The 20,800-nt window shown below is 42.3% G+C and overlaps 1 protein-coding gene across 1 annotated transcript in view, besides 1 other annotated feature; it reads left to right on the forward strand.

Moving 5' to 3' along the window:
• Positions 1 to 20,800, forward strand: part of DIP2B (disco interacting protein 2 homolog B) — a 243,673-nt gene that overhangs the window by 33,820 nt on the left and 189,053 nt on the right. The gene's annotated exons all lie outside the window — the stretch shown is intronic.
• Positions 11,722 to 12,016: a silencer, noted in NCBI's record as "tiled region #12282; K562 Repressive DNase matched - State 5:Enh". NCBI's record gives its function as "represses a minimal TATA promoter and a strong SV40 promoter by Sharpr-MPRA in K562 cells {active_cell/tissue: K562}" and the evidence as "EXISTENCE:reporter gene assay evidence [ECO:0000049][PMID:27701403]".

Consider the following 20,800-nt stretch of genomic DNA (forward strand, 5'->3'; position numbering starts at 1 on the left):
CTGTTGAATACTGGGAAAAGCAAACATAGTATTTTATTACCAAACTGCTTCAAAGAGAATGGCCCAATCATCAAGATCTAGTGAATCCTCTTTCAATTTCTTTCCAGCTTTCTATGCTCCTTTTAGGTCTTACTCAACTGCTGTTGTTTCTTATACTTTAAATTGTCATTTTTCTTGTATTTTTTAAAAACTTGGAATAGTTACTGTTTTTAATATGGGATGCATGCGTGTTGAGCTTTAAGTTCTTGCCTTTCAAAAACGTCTTTGTCTCATTTGATTGTCATTTGAATGTAGCCCACTTGAATACTTCGGAAGCTTTTAGGGTTTGCTTTTTGTCTTTGGAGTTCTGAAATTTCATTAGGATGTGTCTAGGCATGTGTCTTTTCTCTTTCATCCCGTTTGGCTCTAGGTAGCTCGCTCTTTTCTTTTTTCTTTTTTTTTTTTTTGACAGAGTCTTGCTCTGTCGCCTAGGCTGGAGTGCAGTGGCACTATCTCTTATGGAATATTACATACAAAAGAATATATATAAAGTGTATGCACAGGCCGGGTGTGGTGTAATACCAGCACTTTTGAGAAACCTAGGCGGGTGGATCACCTGAGGTCAGGAGTTTGAAACCAGCCTGGCCAACATGGTGAAACCCCGTCTCTACTAAAAATACAAAAATTAGCTGAGCGTAGTGGCAGGCGCCTGTAATCCCAGCTACTCAGGAGACAGGCAGGAGAATCGCTTGAGCCTGAGAGGCGGAGGTTGCAGTGAGCCAAGATCATGCCATTGCGCTCCAGCCTGGGCAACAAGAGTGAAATACTCTGTCTCAAAAAAAAAAAAAAAAGTATCCACAGATTAAAGAAGAATAATAGATTGAACACTGGTAGATCCATGATCTAGTTTGAGAACTAAAAGCTTAAAACACCTCTGAAGGCCCCGTGGGCCTCTTCTATTACTTTTCTCTCACCCTTAGATGTAACTGTCATCCTGAATTTTGTTAATTCTCTAGTTTTGCTTTGTAGTTTGTATAATCCTAAATAATATATTATTTAGTTTTACAAGCTTTTCTATGAATTTTCTATGAGTGGAATCATGCTGTATGAATTCTTCTGATTTGTCTTTTCTGCATTATGAGATTCATTCTTGCTGATGCAAGTTACTGTAGTTCTTTATTCCCCCAGCTTCTATGGCATCCCATTACATGAATCCATCTCAATTTATTAATCCATTCACCAGCTGGCAGGTAGTTTAGTTGTTTCTGTGTTTTTTTTTTTTTTTTTTTTTTTTTTTTTGCTATTGCAAATATCATAGCTATGAACATTTTTTTTTTTTTTTTGAGGTGGAGTTTCACTCTATCACCCAGGCTGGAGTGCAGTGGCGTGATCTCGGCTCATTGCATCCTGCACCTCCCAGGTTTAAGCAATTCTCTGCCTCAGCCTCCCGAGTAGCTGGGATTACAGGTGCCCACCACCACACCAGGCTGATTTTTTTTGTATATTTAGTAGAGACGGGGTTTCACCATCTTGGCCAGGCTGATCTTGAACTCCTGACCTCGTGATCCACGTGCCTTGGCCTCCCAAAGTGCTGGGATTACAGGCGTGAGCCACCGTGCCCAGCCAGCTATGAACATTTTTATATAGTTATTAATATTAAAAATATATTTACATCTTCAGTCATAGATTTTCAGATGCCTATATAGCAGTCTCAAATGAGGTAGAACAGAATCTCTGGATAGGACATTATGATTAAAAAAATTCTTTTTTTTTTTTTTTTGTTGAGATGGAGTCTCGCTCTGTCACCCAGGCTGGAGTGCAGTGGTGCGATCTCGGCTCACTGCAAGCTCCGCCTCCCGGATTCACGCCATTCTCCTGCCTCAGCCTACCGAGTAGCTGGGACTACAGGTGCCCGCCACGGCGCCCGGCTAATTTTTTGTATTTTTTAGTAGAGACGGGGTTTCACCGTGGTCTCGATCTCCTGACCTCGTGATCCGCCCGCCTCGGCCTCCCAAAGTGCTGGGATTACAGGCGTGAGCCACCGCGCCCAGCCAGCTATGAACATTTTTATATAGTTATTCATATTAAAAATATATTTACATCTTTAGTCATAGATTTTAAGATGCCTATATAGCAGTCTCAAATGAGGTAGCGCAGAATCTCTGGATAGGACATTATGATTAAAAAATTCTTTTATAGACGTCTTTGTGTTTTCCATAGTTTCTTCAATGCACTTAGTTTTATATTCTAGAATTTAAAAAAATCAACTTACATTAACACTCTTTTCCTTTGGAGAATATAGAAAAAGCTAAGGGTCACATGAGAGATTTGCATTAATAAATGTAGAAAGAATCAGTGTAACTTGCATGTGTTAATTACAATTTTTGGAAGCTTAATGATTTTGTAGAATCATTGACAAGGCCATATGTATCAAATAAGCCTATTTGTAAGTTCTTCCAGTCTTGAATTGTAGTGTTTCTGTGAAGTTTGTAACTTTTTAAGCTTCTTTTATTTATTTATTTTTTATCTAATATCAGTCACTCAAATTTCCTTTGTCAGCATTACATAGGATAAAGGAGACCTATCAAAAACTTTTGGAATCCAAGGACAAAGAACATTCTTTTTTTTTTTTTTTTTTTAAATCCATAGTCACCATCAACTTCTGTTGGGAGAACAGAGAAAGATAGACTAAGAGAAACAGAGATAGAAAATGTTTAATCCTGTATTGTGGCTTACTGTAGCTCTTCATATTCCCTTGAATTTTAGACTAGATTTCCTCCAAAATTCTGTGAACTTGGGGATATATATGATTGCCAGATGTCTGACACCTTTCTAGATTTGGAACTGTCTGGAATCTAATTTCTTCTGCTAACCCATAGTATATGAAAGAAAGTAACACACACACTATTAAGACAAACTAGAAAATATCATAAAGAGGCTGGATGCAGTGGCTCATGCCTGTAATCCCAGCACTTTGGGAGGCCGAGGTGGGTGGATCACTTGAGGCCGGGAATTGGAGACCAGTCTGGCAAACATGGCAAAACCCAGTCTACACTAAAAATACAAAAATTAGCCAGACGTGATGGCGTATGCCTGTAGTCCCAGCTGTTGGGGAGGCTGAGGCACGAGAATTGCTTGAACCCGGGAGGTGGAGGTTGCAGTGAGCCGAAATTGCGCCACTGCACTCCAGCCTAGGTGACAGAGACTCTGTCTCAAAAAAAAAAAGAGACCGGGCGCGGTGGCTCACGCCTGTAATCCCAGCACTTTGGGAGGCTGAGGTGGGCGGATCACGAGGTCAGGGATGGAGACCATCCTGGCTAACACAGTGAAACCCCATCTCTACTAAAAATACTACTTGGGAGGCTGAGGCAGGAGAATGGCGTGAACCCGGGAGGCAGAGCTTGCAGTGAGTCGAGATTTGGGCCACTGCACTCCAGCCTGGGTGACAGAGTGAGACTCCGTCTCAAAAAAAAAAAAAAAAAGAAAAAAAAGAAAAAAGAAAATCTCAAAATCTCATAAAGAGAATGGGAAAAGGCTGCATTTGTCTTGGAATTTATAAATGTATTCAAAAATTTTTTTCATCTTTGTTGATGCATATTTCTGTAATAGTTTTTTCCTGTCTTAATTTTCTCTCATAAAAGGAAAAGATTTGATATTCCTGAGTCATCACTCTCCTGAAATCTCAGTTTTACTCAGACCTGTGCTATATAGAGTATTATGTTCATGCCCATGTCTGATGTGGAGGGAGAGACACAGACAGGAGAGTGGGTGACTGACTCAGATGTAAATGATCTTATTATACTTGAGCTGCAACCACACCTAGAAACCTTGACAACAACAGGGCCTGTGTTTGATATATCTCACTTGTTAAATCCTGTCTGGATTTTAGTATGTCATATGTGTGTTCATCAGCAAAATTGAACAGGTGCTGGAACAATTGCAAAGCTTTAATCAGACTTATGATTACACTGTTTCTCGTTATGATTAAACTGTTTCTCATTTTGGCCAAAGAATATGACACAATAACTAAAACAAATTTCTAGTTGTTTCTTGTGTTGTTTATTCTGTTCAGAGGTTTCTTTTCTTTTTCTTTTTTATTTCTTAGACAAGGTCTCATTGTGTTGCCCAGGCTGGAGTGCAGTGGCACAGTCTTGGCTCATTGCACCCTCTGCTTCCCAACCTCAAGCTATCCTCCCACCTCAGCCTCCTAAGTAGCTGGGACTACAGATGTGTGCCACCATGCCTGGCTAATTTTTTTTTGGTCTTTTTTTGTAGAGATGGGGCTTCACCAAGTTGCCCAGGCTGGTCTCAAACTCCTGGGCTCAAGCGATTCACTCACCTCAGCTTCCCAAAGTGATGGGATTATAGGCGTGAGCCACCGTGCCTGTCCCAGAGGTGTCAATGCTACATATACATCCTCCACCAAGATAGAGTCATGGGTAAATTAATTAAGGTTAAGAGACAATTTCAATGTCTTATGCCAAGCTGTTAAAGTTTTTTTTTTTCCCCCTTTTTTATTTATTTTTGAGACAGAGTCTCGCTGTCACCTAGGCTGGAGTGCAGTGGCGCAATCTTGGCTCACCGCAACTTCCGCTCCCCAGGTTCAAGCAATTCTCCTGCCTCAGCCTCTCAAGTAGCTGGGGTTACAGCCACCCGCCATCACGCCAGCTAATTTTTGTATTTTTGGTAGAGAAGGGGTTTCGTCATGTTGGCCAGGCTGTTCTCGAACTCCTGACCTCAGGTGATCCGCCAGCCTCGGCCTCCCAAAGTGCTGGGATTACAAGCATGAGCCACCGCTCTCAGCCTATTAATGTTTCAAAAATAGCTTTTCCCTCATTATAAAAATAGCACATGTTGGGCCGGTCATGGTGTCTCACACTTGTAATCCCAGCACTTTGGGAGGCTGAGGTGGGAGGATCACTTGAGTCCAGGAGTTCGAGACCAGCCTGGCCAATGTGGATGAAACCCTGTCTCTACTAATAATACAAACATTAGCTGGGCATAGTGGCACACGCCTGTAGTCCCAGCTACTCAGGAGGCTGAGGCAGGAGAATCACTTGAGCCTGGGAGGCAGAGGTTGCAGTGAGCTGAGGTAGTGCCAATGAACTCCAGTCTGGGCGACAGAGTGAGACTCAGCCTTTAAAAAAAAAAAAAAAAAAAAGGAGGCTGGGCATGGTGGCTCACGCTTGTAATTCCAGCGCTTTGGGAGGAGGAGGCTGGCAGACCACGAGGTCAGGACATCGAGACCATCCTGGCCAACATGGTGAAACCTCGTCTCTACTAAAATACAAAAAATTAGCCAGGCGTGGTGGTTCGCGCCTGTAGTCCCAGTTGCTCAGGAGGCTGAGGCAGGGGAATCGCTTGAACCTGGGAGGCAGAGATTGCAGTGAGATCATGCCACTGCCACTCCAGCCTGGTGACAGAGTGAGACTCCATCTCAAAAAAAAAAAAGGAAATTAAAGAAGAAAATGAATATTTCCTTAATCCTAACACCCAAGTGTAAACACTAATGGTATTTAAGTAAATTCCCTTCCAGTCACTTTTCTATTCAGATATTCCGTCACTAGGGCTGGAGTGCAGTAGCACGGTCTCAGCTCACTGCAACCTCCGCCACCTGGGTTCAAGCGATTCTCCCGCGTCAGCCACCCAAATAGCTGGGATTGCAGGTGCCTGCCACTACGCCCAGCTAATTTTTTGTATTTTTAGTACAGACGGGGTTTCACCATGTTGGCCAGGCTGGTCTCAAACTCCTGACCTTGTGATTCACCTGTCTTGGTCTCCCAAAGTGCTGGGATTACAGGCGTGAGCCACTGCACCTGGCCTCAGATAACTTTCTTTTTCTTTTTTTTTTTTTTTTTGAGACGGAGTCTGTCACCCAGGCTGGAGTGCAATGGCGTGATCTCAGTTCACTGCAACCTCCACTTCCCAGGTTCAAGCAATTCTCCTGCCTCAGCCTCCTGAGTAGTTGGGACTACAGGTGCGTGCCACCACGCCCGGCTAATTTTTTGTATTTTTAGTAGAGAAGGGGTTCCACTGTGTTAGCCAGGCTGATCTCGAACTCCTGACCTCATGATCTGCCCGCCTTGGCCTCCCAAAGTGCTGGGATTACAGGCGTGAGCCACCGCGCCTGGCTGAATAACTTTCTTAAAAGCTGGAGTAGTACCAGGTGTGGTTTCTTATGACTGTAATACTAGCACTTTGGGAGGCCAAGATGGGAGAATCACTTGAGCCCAGGAGTTCAAGACCAGCTTGTATGACTGTACCACATTCATTTATTCTATTGTTGGTGAGCATTTGGTTTGTTTCCAGTTTTGGCTTTTGCGAATGTTTTGTATATGTTTTGTGGTGCCCATATTTTAGATAAAATTACTAGTAGTGGAATTGCTTGGTCTTAGGGTATGCGAATGTTCAGCTTCAGTGGTATTACCAGTTTTCCAAAGTGTTTATACCGATTTACAGACCTTTTGGCAACGTATGAGAGTTCCATTTCTTCCTGTACTTACCAATACTTGCTTGCTTGCTCTCTTCCTCCCTTCCTCCCTTCATCCCTCCCTCCCTCCCTCCTTCTTTCTTTCTTCCTTTCCTTCCTCTCCCCTCCTCTCCCCTCCCTCCCCCTCCCCTCCGTTCTGTCACCCAGCCTAGAGTGCAGTGGCGCCATCACAGCTCACTACAGCCTTGACTTCTTGAGCTCAAGTGATCATCTCACCCCAGCCTCCCGAGTAGCTGGGACTACAGGCATGTGCCACCATGCCTGGCTAATTAAAAAAAATTTTTTTACAGATAGTGTCTTGCCATGTTGGCCAGGCTGGTCTTGAGCTCCTCTGCTGAAGATAACATTTTGGGCCAGGCATGGTTACTCACACCTGTAACTTTTATTTTTTGGAGGCAGACTTTTTTTTTTTTTTTTCATAACGCTATCTGGGCTCACTGCAACCTCTGCCTCCTGGGTTCTAGTGATTCTCCTGCCTCTGACTCCCAAGTAGCTGAGATTACAGGCGTGTGCCACCGTGCCCAGCTAGTTTTTTGTATTTTTAGTAGAGGCGGGGTTTCACCATGTTGGCCAGCTGGTCTTGAACTCCTGACCTCAAGTGATCCACCCGCCTCGGCCTCTCAAAGTGTGGGATTATAGCTGTGAGTCACTGTGCCCGGCCTAAAATAAGATTTATTGAGGACTTGTGTATAGCATGGTAGAAATAAAAGCAGAATTCCTTCTCTTCATTTTACAGTTCTTTCTGTGGAAATGAGTACAACTGAATATAGCAGGTGGCAGTGCCTGTCAACTTTGTTTCCATTCTGCACTGATTGTATTATCTTATTCTAATCCCTGCCAACCAGATGTACTTCCTTCTTCACATAAGATGGAGACAGCTTATTGTATATGCACACATGTGCAAATATGCATAAGTATAGCAAAAGTTGGTCCTGCTGTTCAGAAATATCGTTAACTAGTATCAAGTGAGAGGCGGCATGGTTTACTTCAGGTACAGCATATAGTTTTAGATGCTTATTCCTCCCCTGTTGGTGGGAGTTCCGTGTTGTGAAAAATTCTTTTTTAAAAAAATTTCAACTTTTATTTTAGGTTCAGGGGGTACATGTAAATGTTTGTTACATGAGTTGTGAAGAATTCTGAGGCCATGCCTGAGATCAGTGATTCAGAAGTCCTGTCACTGAATAGTAATTGTTGCAGGGGTGACATATGTTCCACATATTTACCTTCTGTAAGTGAAGCAGAGTGAAGAACCAGACCAATGTAGATTTTCTAGCACTTATTTTTGGGCAAGTTATTTTGTTCTCTGGGCCTCTCAATGTCCTTATCTGGAAAATAGGAGGTCACATTCTTGCTAGGATTAAATACATTAATGCATGCAAAGTATTTCCTGATTGCCTTGCAGATAGATAATAGGTGCCCAGTAAATGTTAGTTCTGTCCCTTTTTTTTGTATGGGAGAGGAGGGACGAGGAGGGAGTGGGCTGTTCTTAAATAGGAATATTTTTAAAACGTATTATGAACTTATCACAGCCCCATGTTTCACTTTTCAGGGCCAATGTAGGAGGCAGTAAAGAAAGAAAAATAAATGAGACATCTCTTGTCAAGTTATAACTGGTTTTATGTATAAATAATTTAGAAACACATTACCTATAATACAAAACAATTAAAAAATATACCACTCTATTTGGCTGTATTTACTACTTTTCTGAAACTGCTTACTCGGAGGTTCGGTTCACCTTACCTCCTTATTTTTACTCCCTTCTTTTTTGACCTTCGTGGTACTATTAACCACCAACTTTGGTGAAATCCTTTCTTTCCTTGGCTTCAGTGAAAACATCACTTTCTAAACAATGAATTTCGTTTTCTACTGGACAGGGGCCCTTTATATAGAGGCAATAAACTTGTATGTTTAACTTTGATGATTGATTATTGATTCAGTTGGTAATACAAATTAAAGTTTGGCTTAAAACAGTGAAATATTTCTGGGAAGTAATTGAATGATGACTGTACAACACTAGAGTAATTTAAAAATACTTAGTGGAAATATTCATTGATACCATCTTTTTTTAGAAGCTAATTTAACAGTAACTCAAAGCAGGGTTAATTTTGTGTAACCTGGCACCCAACATTATATGTCTAGGAATCTGTCCCTCAATAGGATGAATGGTAAAAACATATGTAGAGAGATATTAATCGAAGTATTATTTGTAAGAACAAAAGATGGAAACAACTTAAACACTTGTCAATAGAAAAATAGTGAAATTATGATTTATTCTTACTATTCTTCCGTTAAAAAAGTGAGCTAGAGTGTGTGGGGGCAGAGTGTATGAGAGAAATCTCTGTACCTTCTGTTCAATTTTGCTGTGAACCTAAAACTGCTAAAAAAAATAAGTCTACTAAAAGAGCTAGAGCTATAAATGTACTGAGCTAAAAAATATCTGTAATATATTAAGTGAAAATAGGCTGTGACACTATGTATAGCATGATTTCATTTCTTTTTTTAAAAAGGGTGTGAGCTGGGTATAGTGGCTCATGCCTGTAATCTTAGCACTTTGGAAGGCTGAGGCAGGAGGATTGCTTGAGGACAGGAGTTCGAGACCAACTTGGGCAATGTAGTGAGACCCCATCTTTACAAAAAATACAAAAATTAGCCAGGGATGGTTGTGCATGCCTGTAGTTCTAGCTACTTGGGAGGCTGCAATGGGAGGATTGTTTGAGCCTAGTAGTCCAAGGCTGCTGTGGGCTAGGACAGCACTCCTGCACTCCAGCCTGGGCAAACAGAGCAAGACCCTGCCTTTTAAAGAATAAAAATAAATAAAATGTGTATATATTTTTATACATAGGAAAAACGCATTGATTTTAGTGGCAATTTCATCTAGAATTGGGTTTAGAGGGGTTAGAGTAAGGAACTTTTACTTCTTATTAGGTATACTTCCAAAAAAAGTGATAATTATGAGTGATACTTTTTTTGTGTATGCTTTTCTGATATTTTTCAAATAAAATGATCTTAAGAAAAAACTAAAAATTAATGGAGAGCAGGAAAAGGGAGATAAGGATCCAGCTAGCTACTTTAACTTTTAACAACGATGTCCTTTAAAAATGTTTGTATTTGTATGCATACTCATGTATGTTGTGTATATGTGTATATATACACAGACACACAAAATACAGAGTAACTGCAGTCTGACATTCAATTAAGCTACAGAATGCATGGTATTGGCATACATTTTTATTTTATTTATTTATTTTTTAATTAATTTTTTTGTTTTTTGAGACTGAGTCTTGCTCTGTTGCCCAGGCTGGAGTGCAATGGCACGGTCTCGGCTCACTGCAACCTCTGCCTCCCGGGTTCAAGGGATTCTCCTGCCTCAGCCTCCCAAGTAGCTGGGACTACAGGTACCTGCCATTGCGACTGGCTAATTTTTATATTTTTAGTAGAGATGGGGTTTCGGCATGTTGGCCAGGCTGGTCTTGAACTCCTGACCTCAGGTAATTCCCCGCCTTGGCCTCCCAAAGTTCTGGGATTACAGGCATGAGCCACTGCTCCTGGCCTTGGCCTGCACTTTTAAAGTGTAAGATACTAAGAGGTGTTTTTCTGCACATCACAAGGTACAGTTCTTAAATTCTTTAAGAAGTGACAGGATTTGTTCAGAAAATGTGCAGTTTTCTAGTGTTGCAGTAATGTGTGTTCAGGTTTCCTTCACACAGGTTACAGCTTATTCATAACCCCGAGTTAAAGTTTAAATTTTATGTAATTAGCCACCTATGTGACCTTTGAAACTAAGTGAGGAAACTATTCCGGAGTAGTGAAACTTTGAGTACAGCTGCTTCGGTTTTGGACTACAAATTGGAATTCTTCTATTGAGCAAGAGTCAGGGACGAAAGTGGGGGCTGGTTTAAAAAAAAAAAAAAAGGGCTGGGCGCGGTGGCTCATGCCTGTAATCCCAGCACTTTGGGAGGCCGAGGTGGGTGGATCACAAGGTCAAGAGATCAAGACCATCCTGGCCAATATGGTGAAACCCCGTCTCTACTAAAAATACAAAAATTAGAGATTGAGACCATCCTGACTAACACGGTGAAACCCTGTCTCTACTAAAAATACGAAAAATAAGCCCGGCATGGTGGCGGGTGCCTGTAGTCCCAGCTACACGGGAGGCTGAGGCAGGAGAATGGCGTGAACCTGGGAGGTGGAGCTTGCAGTGAGCTGAGACCGCGCCACTGCACTCCAGCTGGGTGACAGAGCAAGACTCTTGTCTCAAAAAAAATAATAATAAAAATTAGCCAGGTGTGGTGGCGTGTGCCTATAGTCCCAGCTACTTGGGAGGCTGAGGCAGGAAAATCACTTGAACCTGGGAGGCAGAGGTTGCAGTGAGCTGAGATAGTGCCACTGCACTCCAGCCTGGTGAAAGAGCAAGACTCCATCTTAAAAAAAAAAAAAAAAAAAAAAAAGCCATGTGGTTGTTCATGATTTCTGCATTTTTTGTTTAATATGACATTGGTAGCCTGTTTAACTTCATTTTATCATGGCCACTTATAAATAGATAGCTTAAGTCTGTGTGCACAAAATTATGTTTCATTCTGTTAAATTTTTTGTTTTTTTCTTTTTTAGATAGAGATTTAAGTTCCTTATATAACTAAGGAAAAGTCCTATTCCAAATTTAACAATCAAGGTACCTAGTTGTATGAAATTTGGAAATTTTCTTAACCCTCTCTTCTGTGTTATTGGCACTTTTTGATTTTCTAGGAGCTCTGGGGTTTGCAAGTTAAATCTGAGCCTTGAGTATTCCTGCTTTAACCAGCGGGATGGCAGCCATTTTGCCCTGTGTTAGTGCCTTGTCCAGTGAAGGAAAATGAAACGCCTAGAAACTGTGAATTTTGCTTTTTGGACCTGATTAGTTTTGTATGTAATGGATAACGTTAAGTTTTTAAAATTTCCATGTGATTTCTTGGGTTTTAAATTCAGGGCTTACTAACAGTGTACTCGTGGGGCCAGCTGGAATTTTGAAAATTGAAGCTTCCTGCATTTTATTGGCCAGTTTCTTCATTGATTTTTTTTTTCATTCATCTTTTTCATGAGGCTAGGACATTCACAACTGAATTGAGAAATTGAAGTACTCAGAATCTAACTATGAATGTTTGAGAGGCACCCAGTCTAAAAGAACGATTAGACTCTAAGATATTCATAACCATTAGTTTATTAATAGCTCTATAAAAGTTTTCCATGTTCTAGGGTCCTGAGGGGAATGGTCTAGATAACCTAACAGACTTTTCCATCCCTCATGATTCATTTTACTCTATTGAAAATTATCTTAAACAGAAGGAAACGAATAGGCCTGGTAGAACCAGATTCGAAACAGTGTTGCTTCAGTGGGAAGGGAGTGGTTTCTTAGTCAGTGCTTGTGGAGGCTGTTACTCCAGAGGCAGCCCGCTTCTCTGCAGTTAGTAAATACTACTGTAGCCCAGTGGCAGATACTGCGGACATAAATCTTAAAGCTAGTAACATGTTGTTCTTCTAGGAATTCCATTCAGCTACAGATTTAAGGTTTATCAGTAGTATTTCCAGAAAGATGGTCCGACACAGTGGCTCACGTTTATAATCCCAGCACTTTGGGAGGCCGAGGTGGGTGAATTGCTTGAGTCCAGGAGTTCAAGACCAGCCTGGGCAACATGGCAAAACCCTGTCTTTGCCTGTAGTACCCCCAGCTATTTGAGAGGCTGAGGTGGAAGAATCACCTGAGCCTGGGGAGGTCAGGGCTGCAGTGTGCTGAAATTGCACAACTGCACTCCAGCCTGGGCAATCAGAGTGAGACCCTGTCTTTAAGAAAAAAAAGAAAGAAAGAACATGAAGTATTTTAAAGACCAGATTTGAGGCCGGGCGTGGTGGCTCATGTCTGTAGTCCCAGCACTTTGGGAGGCTGATGAGGGTAGATCACCTGAGGTCAGGAGTTTGAGACCAGCCTGGCCAACATGGCGAAACCCCATCTCTACTAAAAATACAAAAATTAGCCAGGCATAGTGGCACGTGCTGGTAATCCCAGCTACTGGCGGGCTGAGGCAGGAGGATCGCTTGAACCTGGGAGGCAGAGGTTGCAGTGAGCCAAGATCAAGCCACTGCACTCCACCCTGGGCAACAGAGCGAGACTCCATCTCAGAAAAAAATCTGTGTGTGTGTGTGTATGTGTGTATTTTGAGACAGAGTCTCACTTTGTTTCCCGGGCTGGCGTGCAGTAGCATGATCTCGGTGCACTGCAGCCTGTGCCTCCCAGGCTCAAGCCATCCTCCAACCTCACCCTCACAGGTAGCTGGGACTACAGGTACATGCCACCACGCCCAGCTAGTTTTTGAATATTTTGGGGAGATAAGGTTTTGCCATGTCGCCCCAGCTGGTCTTGAACTCCTGAGCTCACGTGATCTGCCCGCCTTGGCCTCCCAAAGTCTTGGGATTACATGCATGAGCCACCATACCTGGCCCAATGTCCTTCCTTTTTAAAGCTGAATAATGTTCCATTGTATGTATGTTTCATATTTTGTTTATTCATCTGTAGATGGACATTTAAGTTGCTTCAGCCACATGATGATTGGAATAGTACTACTATAAATGTGGGTATGCAGATATTTCCTCAAGACCCTTTCAGTTCTTTTGGATGTATACCCAGAAGTAGCATTGTTGGATAATATGGTAGCTCTATTTTTAATTTTTTGAGGAAGTTCCCTACTGTTTTTTATAGTGGCTGCACCATTTTACAATCCCACCAGCATGCACAAGGGCTCTCCACATCCTCACCAACACTTGTTATTACTTGTTGTTTTTTAAAATAGATATCCTAATGGTGTGAGGCGATGTCTCATTGTGGTTTTGATTTGCATTTCTCTGATGATGAATGATGTTGAGCATCTTTTCATATGCTCATTGGCCATCTTAGCAGAAAGGTCTGTTCAGATCCTTTGCCCGTTTTTTAATTGGGTTTTTTGTTGTTGTTGTTGAGTTATAGGAGTTCTTTTTTTTTTTTTTTGAGACGGAGTCTCACTCTGTCGCCCAGGCTGGAGTGCAATGGCGTAATCTCTGCTCACTGCAAGCTCCCCTCCCGGGTTCATGCCATTCTCCTGCCTCAGCCTCCCGAGTAGCTGGGACTATAGGCGCCCGCCACCACGCCCGGCTAATTTTTTGTATTTTTAGTAGAGACGGGGTTTCACTGTGTTAGCCAGGATGGTCTCGATCTCCTGACTTCGTGATCCACCCGCCTCGGCCTCCCAAAGGTGTTCTTTTTATATTCTGGATATTAACCCTTTATCAGATACGTTATTTGGAAATATTTTGTCTCATTCTGTAAGTTAACTTTTCTCTCTGTTGATTGTGTCTTTGGATGCACAAAAATTCTTAAGTTTGATATAGTCCCATTTATCTTATTTTGCTTTTGTTTCCTTTCCTTTTGGCGTCATATCCAAGAAATTCTTGCCAAATCCAGTATTATTAAGCTTTTCTTCCATGTTTTCTTCTAGGAGTTTAAAGTTCTTTTTTAAACGTTTTTTAAATTTTTTAAAATAAACTTCTTATGTTTAGGTCTTTAATCTATTTTGAGTTATTTTATTTATTTATTTATTTTTTCCCAGAGTCTTCAGTGGTGCAATCTTGGCTCACTGCAACGTCTGCCTCCCAGGTTCAAGCCATTCTCCTGCCTCAGCCTCCCGAGTAGCTGGGACTACAGGTGTGCGCCACCATGCCCGGCTAATTTTTGCATTCTTATTAGAGACGGGGTTTTGGCATATTGGCCAGGCTGGTCTTGAACTCCTGACCTCAGGTGATCTGCCCACCTCGGCCTCCCAAAGTGCTGGGATTACAGGTGTGAGCCACTGCACCCGGCCTGAGTTAGTTTTCTATATGGTGTCAGATAAAGGTACATCTTCATTCTTCTGCATGTGGATGTCCAGTTTTCCCAGAACCATTTGTTGAAGAGACTGCCTTTTCCCCATTGAGTGGTCTTGGCACCCTTTCATGTAAGCTGTTATTAAAATTGTCATGTTGTTTTGTGTGATCATTTGAATATCTCTCCCAGTATGTTGAAGTACCATGAACGACAGATTGTGTTTGTTTTGCTGACTGTTGTATCCCAGTACCTAGCGCAGTGCCTGGCACTTAGCACAGGCACCCTGTATTCATTTATTGAATAAAGGCATTAAGCAATCCTGAATGTAACAAGAGACAGCCTGTATGTTGCAGGTCAGTTTAAGGAATATTGCCAGGTGTTATAAGGTACGACTGAATTAAGCATCTGGAGGCACTAACAGTTTTGTCTAAACAGGAATGTGATTCTGACGGCCAATATAAAGTATTGTTTAGTCTCCCTAAAAGAGGACTTTTGGTTCATTTGTGTTTTTCCTTTATTCTTTTGTTTCGTTCTGAGACAGGTTCTCACTCTGTCACCCAGGCTGGAGTGCAGTGTTATGATCACAGCTCACTGCAGCCTCGATCTCCTGGGCTCAGGTGATCCTTTCACCTTAGCCTCTCAAGTAGCTAGGACTACAGCATGTGCCTTCATGCCCAGCTAATTTTTTAAATTTTTTGTGGAGATGAGGTCTTGTTATGTTGCCCTGGCTGGTCTTGAACTCCTGGGCTCATTTGATCCTTCCACTTTGACCTCCCAAAGTGTTGGGATTGCAGGTGTCAGCCTGTGCGCTTGGGCTGTTTTCCTTTTTTCTTAATTTTTTACTGAAATTTTATTTAATAGAATTTTATTTCTATTAAAGTTTTACACACACGTATTTGAAAGAGGCAAGTAATTTTATAAGTCGTCACAACAGATAGCTCTTCTGCTTACCTCTTCTACCCAATTTTCTCTTCCCCAAAGATAACCTCTTTTACTTCCTTAACTGATTCTTTTTGGTTTTACCCTCATATCTTTAAGCAACATGCATACATTTCTTCTTAATTTTCAGTACTTTTGCATCATATACTGGCTTCCCACCTTAGCTACCCACCCATGCTTCCATACCACTTTTCCCTCCATATAGTTATAGCATAATTTTGATTAAATATTAGATTGATATTTAATACTTAAGTTATGACTATGTAAATGCTGTTGATAGCTAAATCATGTGGTATACTTTTATTTTTTTCTTTTCTGCTTAGATTTTGTTTTCTCTGTAATTGCAAGATGTTTTATTTGCTTATTTTCTATGTATTTGTCATTGATATGTCTCTATACTCTTAGTTGCATGAATCTGCCTCTATATGATCGCTCATATCAGGTATTCTGTCAGTTTCACCTTGAATAGGTTGTTCCTGGAATCTTCTGAAATGCCTTGGCTTAGATGGATTGGTCACTGGGTGCGTGGCATGGCGGTAGAATGGATCAGCCGTCTCTAGTTTCTTAGGGATTTCCTTTGCTTTGTGTATTGCATCCTGTATATTCTGTGTCTCGTGTCTTTACCTTTTTGAGCTTACTTCTTCACTTTGGTTGAGTGCATCTCTGAAAGACATCTCGCCGCTCCCCCCCCGCCCCTTTTTTTTTCTTTTGAGATGGAGTCTTGCTGTCTCACCAGGCTGAAATGCAGTGGCGCCATCTCGACTCACTGCAACCTCTGCCTCCCAGGTTCAAGTGATTCCCCTGCCTCAGGCTCCCGAGTAGTTGGAACTAAAGGCGCGCGCCACCACGCCTGCCTAATTTTTTGTATTTTAGTAGAGATGGGGGTTTCACCGTGTTGGCCAGGATGGTCTCTTGTCTCCTGACCTCATGATCTGCCTGCCTCAACTTCCCAAAGTGCTGGGATTATAGGCGTGAGCCACCGCGCCTGGCTGACATATCCCATTTTTTATCTCTTTTTTGGAATATAATATTCTTGCCCTCAACTCTTCCTAGTGTCCCCCATTCTAGAGACCCTCTGTTTGCCCTTCTAGAAAATAACTGCAGTCTTCTGTAGGGTGAGGAAAAGACATTCATTCTCTTGGCTTCCTGGAAGAGGAGAGAGGATCTAGGAGTCTTTTCTTATCTTCCTGTTTATAACGTTTTGCCACCATTTCCAGAGGGAATTGGTTCTCCCCTTCCTATGTATTTTCATAGTGTAAGTCTCTTCACCACCTTCCCATCCCTACCCTGTGTTTGCCACTTAGGATTCAGCTTTCTTGGCTCTGCTGAGACATGTATTGCTTATCTACCTGCTTTCCAAATTTCAAATTTTGTCGCTGCTATCACTTTGGTTCTTTTTTGTCCTTATGGTTAATGCTTATGTTTTCCTCCCTACTCATTCAGTGAGGTATGAGAAAGAACAGAGGCTGTGCACTCATTCTGCTATCTCTGACTGGAAGTTGCCCGAGCTGCCCTTTATCTCCTCTCTTCTCACTTTTTATCTGCCTTTTATCTATTTGTCGCCTCTGACTTCTGACTTTTACCCTCATCTTGTTCCAAGCCCAGTCATCTTTAATACTTACTTTTTCCATCTCATTGGGCCTCTCACCTCTTGTTTCCTTTCACCCCATGCTTGTTTGGCGCCTCATGTCCTCCTCTTACTTCTAGGGGCCTCCCTGAGCAGAGTAGGGAGGCCCCTTCTTTCCTTTTGCTTCTTGTCAGTTTCCCATCTCTCCTGTGCTTCTCTGCTTCACTGATATACGAAACACACATATCAAAGGATAGCCTGGCCATGTTTGTGTAGCAGCTCAAGAAACTATTCTGAACAGCAGCAAAAACCACACACCAATCTTTAGAAATTAAATCTTTGTTGATTTAGCATGTCCTGCTTCTCTTCTTCTTGCTATCTATTGTCCCGTGTCACATCTCTGACTCTTCATTGTTTTTTTTCCCCCCAAGATGGAGTCTTTCTCTGTCACCCAAGCTGGAGTGCAGTGGCGCGACGCTCACTGTAAGCTCTGCCTCCTGGGTTCAAGCAATTCTCCTGCCTCAGCCTCCCAGCCACCTGGGATTACAGGTGCCTGCCACCACACCTGGCTAATTTTTGTATTTTTAGTAGAGACGGAGTTTTACCACATTGGCCAGGATGGTCTCGAACTCCCGACCTCGTGATCTGTCCATCTCAGCCTCCCAAAGTGCTGGGATTACAGGCATGAGCCATAGTGCTGGGATTACAGGCGTAAGCCATCGAGCCCGGCCGACTCCTCATCTTTTTACTAACTGTTCACCTATTGATACATCATATTCCTTGTAGTGTTTTGCCACTATGAAGACAGGTATTTACTTTTTAAGTAAAATAAATATTACTAATAGTAAAACAGCCGTTTTACTGGGAGTTAGAAGGGCTGTTTATTGACTTAAATGACACTATGTATTGTGAGACTTTTTTTTTTTTTGAGATGGAGTCTCGCCCTGTCGCCCAGGCTGGAGTGCAGTGGCTCACTGCAATCTCTGCCTCCCGGGTTCAAGCGATTCTCCTGCCTCAGCCTCTCCAGCAGCTGGGACTACAGGCGCATGCCACCACACCTGGCTAATTTTTTGTATTTTTTTTGAGACAGAGTTTTGCTCTTGTTGTCCATGCTGGAGTGCAGTGGTGTGATCTTGGCTCACTGCAACCTCCACCACCCAGGTTCAAGTGATTCTCCTGCCTCAGCCTCCCAGGTAGCTGGGATTACAGGCATTCGCCACCACACCCAGCAAATTTTTGTATTTTTAGTAGAGACAGGGTTTCTCCATGTTGGTCAGGCTGGTCTTGAACTCCTGACCTCAGGTGATTCACCTACATCGGCCTCCCATAGTGCTGTGATTACAGGCATGAGTCACCGCGCCCGGTGCATTTTTTTGTATTTTTAATGAAGACAGGATTTCACCATGTTGGCCAGGCTGGTCTTGAATTCCTGACCTCAAATGATCTGCCTGCCTCCGCTTCCCAAAGTGCTGGGATTACAGATTTGAGCCACCTGGTCGGTATTGTGAGACTTTCTGAATCACTGAGCCTTGATTCTTTATCTATAAAATGGAGATAATAAGCTCTTCCTACTTTATAGGACTTGAAGAAGCAAATGGGAGAGGGTGAGTGAAAGTGGGAAGCTCTGAAATGATTTTTAATTTGTGTGCCCCACACACCTTGCCTTCCATAGATGGTCCAGGCTGTGGTCTGGTTGCTGCTTTCCTGTGTGTGGTGCATGGACACAGGCAGGAGTGAGTAGATTCCCAGAGGACCTACTATGGCTTGGATGATCTCTCCACTTTGGGGCGGGCACCATCCCCTCCATGTCTTCTTAGATTGTTAGATATAAAGCATCGGCTGTACATTCTTACTTTACACACTAATGTTCTCACAACAGTGGCAGGGCCTTCCTAGGCAGAGGACATCTACAAAGAGTGGATGATGGTGGCTGCCACCTGCTGAACTGTGGCTAATGGGCTGCTGGGTGGGGGGATATTGCCTGAGGGATCTGCTGGAGCCCATGGCAGGCAAAAGCCAGCAAAAATTTGTTACTGTTATTGTGACTACATCTGTATGCATGAACCACTTAGCTCTAGAGGAATTTTGGTTACATAAGCTTAGTGGTGGCTTAGTAAATGGATTCTGCAGTTCTTGTTGTTTCTCCCAGATTGAACTTGCCTTTCTGCCATATGATTGGCACTACTGATTGTTGAATCATTTCTTCCAGAACAAGGAAAAATGCCAGGCGTGGTGGCTCCCACCCATAATCTCAGCACTTTGGGAGGCTGAGGTGAGAGGATCGCTTGAGCCCAGGAGTTTGAGATTAGCCTATGTAACAGAGAGACCCCATCTCTATAAAAAACAAAAAATAAGGAAAATACATACATAAATGTTAGTGTTATAGATGGTAAAAAGTGAACAAATGTCAACACAATGCAATATAAATTATCACGTTTCAGCTGAGCGCGGTAGCGTCCTAAGCCTGTAATTCCAGCACTTTGGGAGGCCAAGGTGGGAGGATCGCTTGAACCCAGGAATTCGAGACCAGCAACATAGTGAGACCCCGTTTCTACAAAAAATATTCACAAATTTCAAGATTTATGGAGTTTTATTATATGATCTAGTTCAGAAACTTTTTAGATATGACATTGTTTTGATCAGTCTCCTGTACCCTTAGGGGTAGCACAAGTAATAGGAAAAACAAAATAGGTCTAGATGCAGCAGTGCTGGTTGAAGATGTCTGGGTGATTTAAGTTTCTGTGTTCCTGCCAGGGGTAATAATTGAGAATCATATATAAGGGAACCTTAGGAACCCTCTATTCTAACACTGTTTACAGATGTGGAAATGGAGGTACTGAGAGGTGACTTGGTTTTCTTGAGGCCACACTGTTTGCAGCACTGTATTTCTGAACTTGTATTCTAACATCTCAAGTAGCAAAAAGTGGAAATGAAAAACAATTGAGGGAGCTATCAGTCAGAGATGGTAGAATGAATATCTCTAATAGCCCCTGTTTTTTCCTCATACCTCATTAAATGACAGTAAGAAAAAGCATTAACTCAGAAGAACAAAACAGAACTGCAGAAGAGAGAACAGCAACACAATTTTGGAAACTGGCAAGTGGGTAGATGAACGATTACTGACTTAGTGGCAATGGGGGAGCAAGGCCGTTTACACTTTGAAAACCCAGAAGGCTCAGGAGTGGGTGCACCAGTTCCCTCTGGAAATGGGGGCAAAAGTGGGTTGCAAAGAGAAGGATTCACTGAAAGTTTAAGAAAAGACTCCAGAGCCTCCCTCTTCTTCTATGAAGCCAAGAGAATGTCCTTTCCTTACCCTAGCAGAAGACTGGAGATTTATTTTCTGCAAGGGGAAAATAGAGAGTCTCTAGAATAGGGAACACCAGGTGCAGGTGAGGGCAAGGAGAGCATACTGTCAAGCTCTTCCAATTTGTATATAATTCTTTCCATACCCAGTAGCATGTACCAAGGTGGATTCAGTTCTAAACTCAGAACATGGGTGATTAGGTGATCACCCCAGTACTTCCCCAAGGGACAGACTTCTTATTAACTCCTCTCCACTGAGTACATCACTAAGGCCTTTGGGTGACATTTTATTTTTCCTTTTCTTTCTTCTCCTGTAATTTAGTAGTTAATCTTCACAGAAAAGAGGAAGATGGTGTAATTATTTGTCTTTTTTTTTTTTTTTTTTGCTGGGCTGGCATAACAAAATAATGACGTTTAAAAGATTCAAGGGTAGATATTTTCTTTGGTATTATACCAATTTTATCTCAACAGTTTGACTAACCAACAATTGGTCCTTAAAAAAAATATTATTAGGCTGGGCATAGTGTCTCATGCCTGTAATCCCAGCATTTTGGGAGGCTAATGTGGGAGGATTGCTTGAGCCTAGGAGTTTAAGACCAGCTGGGGCAACATAGCAAGATCTGGTCTCCACAAAAAATTAGCCAGGTGTGGTGGTGCA

The sequence above is a fragment of the Homo sapiens genome, chromosome 12 (assembly GCF_000001405.40).
Source record: "Homo sapiens chromosome 12, GRCh38.p14 Primary Assembly".
NCBI classification, from domain to species: Eukaryota; Metazoa; Chordata; class Mammalia; order Primates; family Hominidae; genus Homo; species Homo sapiens.